The 6,812-nt window shown below is 58.8% G+C and overlaps 1 protein-coding gene and 1 long non-coding RNA gene across 3 annotated transcripts, besides 3 other annotated features; one reads left to right on the top strand and one right to left on the bottom strand.

Annotated features, from left to right (window-relative positions):
* Positions 1-365: 365 nt before the first annotated feature.
* On the bottom strand, positions 366-6,375 carry ADAD2 (adenosine deaminase domain containing 2). 2 transcript variants are annotated; one of them, NM_139174.4, is made up of 11 exons: positions 5,884-6,375; positions 3,311-3,526; positions 2,950-3,090; positions 2,552-2,599; positions 2,338-2,463; positions 2,086-2,266; positions 1,835-2,002; positions 1,488-1,717; positions 1,162-1,405; positions 765-885; positions 366-662 (listed from the first exon to the last, which is right to left on the bottom strand). In NM_139174.4, exons 1-11 carry the CDS (start codon positions 6,299-6,301, stop codon positions 558-560), a joined length of 1,998 nt encoding a protein of 665 aa, NP_631913.3. In that variant the 5' UTR covers positions 6,302-6,375; the 3' UTR covers positions 366-557. The 2 variants fall into 2 exon arrangements, with proteins under 2 accessions (NP_631913.3, NP_001138872.1); NM_001145400.2 differs by lacking the exon at positions 3,311-3,526 and having other exon boundaries at positions 2,086-2,236.
* On the top strand, positions 479-4,974 carry ADAD2-AS1 (ADAD2 antisense RNA 1). The gene is made up of 5 exons (NR_147175.1): positions 479-650; positions 2,091-2,271; positions 2,376-2,487; positions 2,807-3,143; positions 3,226-4,974. It is a non-coding gene; the product is annotated as an ADAD2 antisense RNA 1 (long non-coding RNA).
* Positions 1,249-1,871: an enhancer, noted in NCBI's record as "H3K27ac-H3K4me1 hESC enhancer chr16:84229267-84229889 (GRCh37/hg19 assembly coordinates)". NCBI's record gives its function as "activates a minimal SCP1, AML or CMV promoter by ChIP-STARR-seq in naive H9 embryonic stem cells {active_cell/tissue: H9 hESC(naive)}" and the evidence as "EXISTENCE:reporter gene assay evidence [ECO:0000049][PMID:30033119]".
* Positions 2,027-3,226: an enhancer, noted in NCBI's record as "CDK7 strongly-dependent group 2 enhancer chr16:84227912-84229111 (GRCh37/hg19 assembly coordinates)". NCBI's record gives its function as "activates an origin of replication core promoter dependent on BRD2, BRD4, P300/CBP, MED14 and CDK7 cofactors, with strong dependence on CDK7, by STARR-seq in HCT116 cells {active_cell/tissue: HCT116}" and the evidence as "EXISTENCE:reporter gene assay evidence [ECO:0000049][PMID:35650434]".
* Positions 6,335-6,629: an enhancer, noted in NCBI's record as "tiled region #3417; HepG2 Activating DNase matched - State 10:DNaseD, and K562 Activating non-DNase unmatched - State 10:DNaseD". NCBI's record gives its function as "activates a minimal TATA promoter and a strong SV40 promoter by Sharpr-MPRA in HepG2 and K562 cells {active_cell/tissue: HepG2 | K562}" and the evidence as "EXISTENCE:reporter gene assay evidence [ECO:0000049][PMID:27701403]".

Genomic DNA, 6,812 nt, shown 5'->3' with positions numbered 1-6,812 from the left:
AAAGGCAAGGATTTGGAGCCCCAATAGCGGCCAGAGGACAAAATGCTCACACATCCAAGCAGCCTGCCCTCCCACCCTTTACAACACCCGCAACCCGTGGCCTCCGTGGTCTCCTCCAGCACACAGGCTGGAAAACAGGAGGAACCAGGGGAGGTCACCTCCCCTCCTAAACCTGCCTCCAGCCCTGTGAACAGGGGCGGGGGTGACAATTCAGTGGCTCAGTGAGAGGATCCAGGTGGGAACCCAGTGAACACAGGGCCTCCCAAAGGAGGAGTGAGGGGCTCTCTCCGCAAACAAAGGGCCCCTGGCCACCCCAACACATAAACACACACACACACACACACACAGCCAACTACACACACAGGAACCAGAAATACTTCTTTATTCAAGCCCAAACGTGCAGCAGCCGCCTCCCAACCACAGCAGGCTCCTCCTTCCCTCCAGCCCCAGTTTCACCCCGCACAACCCATGTTCTCCCCACAACGCTCCTCAGATAGGGCACTCCCCCAGCAGGGGTACAGCTTGGCTCCGGGACCTCGGTCCCGCCGAGGCTGGCTTCAGTTTCTGAATTTGCCCACCAGTGGCTTCGAGGGCCAAGCCCCCAGGCCCTGCTGGTCCAGGAGGAGAGACAGCTGCCTGCGAGCCTCCTGGTAGGGCCCAGCCTAGGGCGGGAGATGAGAGGTGGGGTGAGAGGAGGTACCTGCAGGGGGCAGGGACTGCAGGGCTGGAGAGGGACCGGGACGGGGGGAGGGTGGGGAACCAACCTTGGCAGCCTCGTAGGTCTTCAAGGCCAGGAGGTAGGGCTTCCCCACAGCCCTGGCCGCCTGGTGAAAGGCCCGGAGAAAGGAGGCCTTGCAGAGACGGGAGGGAGGCCCCAGGGCGGCACTGGATGAAGAGAGGATACCACTGAGATCAGAGAGATACAAGCTGGACCAGCAGGCCTGCTACACACCTCACACTACCTCCTCTCACACTGTGACAATGTCACAGGACTCACAGGGCAGACAGAGGTGTGGCCACCACTACGGAGCTAGGAAGGGGTTGAGCGAAGGGGTTGAGCGAAGGGGTTGCGCTGGGATTAGACTGAGGTGAGGAAGCTCATGCATGAGCCCTCCATCACCAGCACTGCTCCACAGCCCGGCCCCAGGGGGCCCTTCTCACTTGGCCTTCACACGCCCGGTGGCCACATCCACAACCTCGATGCCAGGGTCCCCCAGGCTCCAGTTGAGGCTCAGGCCACGGCAGGTGTCAGGGGTGGGTTCGGAAGGGGCCACCGGGGGCCCTGCAAACAGGTGCAGGGCGGTCCGGACGTAGGGAGGTGGCAGGCATGGCCCCAGGACACTGTCCAGGCAGGGCCGGGTGTGGATGGCCCTGCTCAGAGTCGGAGGGTCGTGGCATGAGTCAGCTGCAGGGCAGAAGGGACAGGACAAGGTGAGTGACCTCCCTGCCCTCCCTTCTCACCCCCCCAGCCCTCACCACGTGCTCACCCAGGATGAGGCTGGTGCTGTAGAGTGGGGACACCAGGTGGGCCAGCAGGGCACCACCCAGCCCCAGCACGGCCCAGCGTGCCAGCTTGTCACTGGCTGACAGGCAGCCCACGTGGGTGTCACAGAGCGAGGGCGCCACGTAGCACACAGGCTTCAGCTGCCCGAGCACATGGGCCTGCAGGCGCATGGGTGGGCTGTGCGGGAGGCCACCTTCCGAGGTGGGGGGCAGGCTGCGGGCCGGGTGGGGACAGACATCAGCTTCAGGGCTGCTCTTCTGACCCTGGCCCCCACCCAGCAGCCCAACCGAGGGAGCCCCATCCCCCGCCTGCCCCGGGGGCCCTGCATACTAGATGTCACGGGCCGCGCCCTTGGGGGTGTTGCTGATGTAGAGGTGCAGGAAGACGCGGGGCTTGAGGGTGAATGGGGGTCCGGGCCCTGGCTGGGGGGCCAGCACGGACTGCTCCTTGCCCTTGGGGCCCCCCTGTGTGGCCAGCAGGAGCTGCCGGAACAAGAACCTAGGAGCGACAGGCACAGGGTGGTTGGGAAGACCTTGTCCTGGCGAAGGCTGCTATCAGGCGCCCACCCCACTGCCCCTCACCTCAGCAGGGCCCTGCGGGCGATGACCAGGCCATGGCAGTCGTGGAGCTGCTGGCCCGAGAACTCCAGCCAGCCAGCACAGCAGCTGCTGCCGGTGCCCAGAGCCACCAGCTTGTAGATCTCCTTCACGTGGCCCCTGGCACGCGGGATCTCTGTGCAGGAGGGGGCAGAGACGGCCCAGCCTAAGGCAAGGAGCTTGAGGGGGCCCTTCCCAGGGGGCCGGGGCCAGGGCCAGGGCTGGGGCGATCCCTACCCCTCTCCAGGATGACTCCAGCCACAGTCCCCTTACAGGCCCAGTATGGCGAGCGCTCGTCCAACAGGAGGTCAAAGCCGGCGCTCACCAACGCTGCGCAGCGCTGCTCATGGGTCAGGATGTTCTCTGCGCCAGGGCGAGAGACTGCAGGTAGAAGGGGGCCCACGCCTCTCCCCTCGACACTACAAGCCTGGGTCCGGGAATGCTCACCTACCTACGCTCAGGGGGGCCAGTGGAGGCCGGCTGGAGGTCTGGGGGGACTCTGAAAGAGGCAAGGAGGGCGGGCTGGTGTGGGTGCCAAGGCCCACCCTCCGTCCCTCAGGAAGCCAAGGAGGCGGGGAGAGGAAGTTTTCATCTTCCAGACACAGGACATTACACGAGCTGCTCTTCTAGCGGTCCCTACCCCCGGTGTCCCCAGAGGACGTGAAAGCAGGGACCGGCACATGTACCCCGCCCCAGCTCCCTGCAGGTGACGTCCTGATGCTCAGATGGTTTGTACAGCAACCCACCTCCTGCTCACACGCACAGCCACTTCCGCCTCCCCACGGGACTGCCAGCCTCAGTCCTCTTGTCCCCAGCTGCGGCTCAGCTGCCTGGCCCTCCCTCCATTACCTGGGTTCTCCAGCTGACTCCGGATGTAGCAGAGGGCAGAGAGCGCTGCCTGCTGTTTGGCCTCCGTCTTGCTATTCGCAGTGCCCGCAGGGCAGACCACCCCATCCAGTTCCGCGCTCACCGAGAAGGGGAAGCAGGGACCTGGGGAAGGAGCCAGGTGAGGAAGCAGCCCCCTGGCCTTCGCCCTGTGACAGGTACCACCTCTGCCTCCTCCTGACACCTGATATCGAGGACGGTCAGAATAATGAGACCCTCACCACCCTTCCCTTCCTCCAGCAGGCTCCATCGCCACCCCATGCCGCGCACACCCTTGAGTGCCTCTGCAGGCTGTGACCCATCGCTGATTCAACCAAGTCCTCACCCAACTCCTCCACAGCAGGGATGCGTGACTCCATTTCACAGATGAGCAGAAACGGCAGGCGGTTTGCCCAACTTGAGTCAGGACCCAAATCCAGGTCCCCTCTCCAGAGCCCACGCCACCCTGTTCTCAGGAGGAAGGCTCTGAGCACTTCCACCTGCCACAGACACATTGCTTTCAATTCCTCTCCTCCAGGGGCTCTATATTTGAACACTTTTCCTATGAAACAGTATCATTTTGGGTGTTACTTATAACACAAAAGAGAGATGAAAAATCTGGAACTGGGATCACATGGTCAAAGGTGCAGGGTTAATTTCACAGTACTTGCTGCTAAATTGTTTCTCCCAAGGACTGCCCCTCTGGGGGTTTCCCTTTTGGAAGGGAACCCATTTCAGCACTCCCCACTGCGCTGAGATCTGTCTGCTCTAAACAGGCATCAAAACCAGCAACCACAGACAGACGTGGAAGGGATGTTGGCCTTAGAAAGCCAGCATGTGGCTGCCATCCTAACAGCGACTGAATCTGGGGAGAACCATCAAAGCATGATTTTCTAAAACCACAAGTGACAATGTTATAGGGACAGGATATCTACATGATCTCCAAATGCCTCCCCTGGATGACTTATTCAGCACAAAGGAGAAAGTGAAGACACCTGGTAGATGCCACCCTAGTCAAATCCCCACAGCTCGCATCGCCAGGGGACAAAGCAAGATCGCACACTTCCTGGTGAGATGCGTGCCAAAGACTCGACATCACTTCAATAACACATCACCTGAACTCAGTTCTGAGGAAACAGACAAACCCAAGCTGAAGGACATTCGCAAAACTACTGGCCCTTACTCTTCAAAGACATCAATGTTGTGAAAGACAAAGACAGGAACTGTTTCAGGTAAGAGATTAAAGAGGCATGACAGCTAACTGTAATGTCATACTGGGATGGGAAACAATGGCCATGAGGTCATTACTGGGACAACTGGCAAAATTTGAATGTGAATAGAAATTAGAAGATGGTATTATATCAATGTTAAATTTCCAGGATTTGATAATTGTATTGTAGTTACATAAGAGATGCCCTTGTTTTTAAGAAATATAGATGAGGCCGGGCACAGTGGCTCACTCCTGTAATCCCAGCACTTTGTGGGGCTGAGGACAGGAACTCAAGACCAGCATGGCCAACACGGTGAAACCCCATCTCTATTAAAACACAAAAAAATTAGCTGGGCACGGGGGCACAAGTCTGTCATTCCAGCTACTCGGGAGGCTGAGGCGCAAGAATCGTTTGAATTCGAAAGGCAAAGGTTGCAGTGAGTTGAGATCTCACCACTGCACTCCAGCCTGGGCCACAGAGCGAGACTCTGTCTCAAAGGAAAAAAAAAAAGAGGGCTGGGCAAGGTGGCTCTAACCTATAATCCCAGCACTTTGGGAGGCCAAGGCGGGCGGATCACTAGAGGTCAGGAGTTTGAGACCAGCCTGGCCAACATGGTGAAACCCCATCTGTACTAAAAATACAAAAATAAATTAGCCGGGCTTGGTGTGGACACCTGTAATCCCAGCTACTCAGGAGGCTGAGGTAGGAGAATCACTTGAACTTGGGAGGCAGAGGTTGCAGTGGGCTGAGATAGTGCCACTGAACTCCAGCCTGGGCCACAAGAGTGAAACTCCATCTCAAAAAGAAAGAAAAAAGAAAAACAAACAAACAAACAAACAAAAAACACGTGAATGTATTTACAGGTAAGGAGCATAATGTCTGCAATTAACTTTTAAATTAAAACTCTGGGCCAAGTGTGGTGGCTCACACCTGTAATCTCAGCACTTTGGAGGCCCAGGAGGTCAGATAGCTGGAGCCCAGGACTTCAAGAACAATCTTGGCAACATGGTAAAACCACATAATCTCTACAAAAAAAATACAAAAATTAGCCAGGTGTAGTGGAGTCCACCTGTAGTCCCAGCTCCTCGGGAGGCTGAGGCGGGAGTATCACTTGAGCCCAGGAGGCGGACGCTGCAGTGAGGCAAGCTTGTTCCACCGCATTCCAGTCTGGGCAACAGAGTAAGACCCTGTCTCAAAAAAAATCCAAAACACAAAACAACCACTCTGAGTTAAGGGATTTAAGGGGTATGTATTGAAGAAGAGGAAATAACGGTTTACCTCTGTATCATGTACACGGTATTACCCTTACCAAACTGTGCTTAATAATGTCTTTTAAGTCAGGGGAGTGGCTCCCATTTCGGTATCTCCAATGCTAGCACGGCAACTTAAATTGCATGTAAGTGGCTCTAAAAACGTATACAGAAATACCAGGGGGCCTTAACCTCCCTGGAAGTCAGGTGGGAAGAATGTTCACCTGCCATGACTCTTTCACAGTTGAGCATCTGGTGTGGCTGGTGATCCTTGGAGATCGCTGCTCACAGCAGGGTCCACCCCAAGGTCCCAAGCTCAGGCCAGGTCCTGCTCCGGCGGTGTCTCTGAGCATAGGGACCAAGGTCCACCTTCCCCAGACCCCCTGCTCCCCACGTCCTGGGACCCAGCCCTCCGTGGCTCTGCCCTCTGGCACAGCCATGCCCCGGCCCGGCCTCACCTGGTGGCTGGTCCTCCCGGAAGAGCAGGAAGATGCCCAGGCTGGCCGCGTACTCCGTGAGCAAGGACACGGCCTGGCTGGCAGGTGGGTCTTTGAGCGGCAGGCTGAGCCCTGCTGGGGGCACAGGGACCCTCGGGGCCTTCCCCATCTGTTCCCCCAAGTTTTCCCACGCCCGGGCTGCCCCCAGTTCCCCGACTCCGGCCCCTGCCCCAGGCCCACTGTCCCTCAACACCGAGACCTGGGGCCACCCGCCCTCCGCGCGATACGTCGCGGGCGCGGGCGCGGGCCCCCAGGCACTTTGGGCCTGGGCGGGTAGCGGTCGCCAGGGGCGGGGCTGGGGGCTGATCTGCAACGATGCAGCCAGGCGGGGCTTCCTACGACTGCCGTCGTCGTCAGCGCCCTGAGAAGCCGAAGCCATGGCCGCCAACGAAGATCTGAGGCGCTAGGCCCTATCTCGCGCTGCTCTCGCCCTTTCACACGCGCAGGGCGGGTGCCTTCACGTGGGGAGCACGCGGACGAAGCGTGGTGAGCTCCACCCCTGCCATACGATGGCCAATGAGAGCCCTGAGATCTGTGATGGACAGTGCACCCTGCCAATGGGAAGGCCAGTCTCCCAACGACGGCGGCTTGGATGCTTATGGCTGAGGCCAAGGTCCCACTGCCTGGACGGAAGTTCCGGCTGAGACCAACGTCCCATGGCCTGGAGGGAAGTTCCGGTGGGTGGGTGAGGGGTTGCTCTAGCAGCTGCTTCTTTAACCGTGGGTGGTCGCGGAGCCTGCAAGGCGGGGGAGGAGCATCTGGGGGCGTCAGGTCCAGTTTCACACTCTAGCTCCTGCCCTAGGCCCCTAGGCACCTCCACATCACAGGCTGCTCAGCTGCTTCACTGGCTGAGCCTGGAGACTTCAACACAGGAATTAGGGGTTCACACT

Source organism: Homo sapiens, chromosome 16, assembly GCF_000001405.40.
Source record: "Homo sapiens chromosome 16, GRCh38.p14 Primary Assembly".
Taxonomy (NCBI): Eukaryota; Metazoa; Chordata; class Mammalia; order Primates; family Hominidae; genus Homo; species Homo sapiens.
The sequence above is the reverse complement of the archived record's forward strand: the minus strand, read 5'-3'. Positions and strand labels throughout refer to the sequence as shown.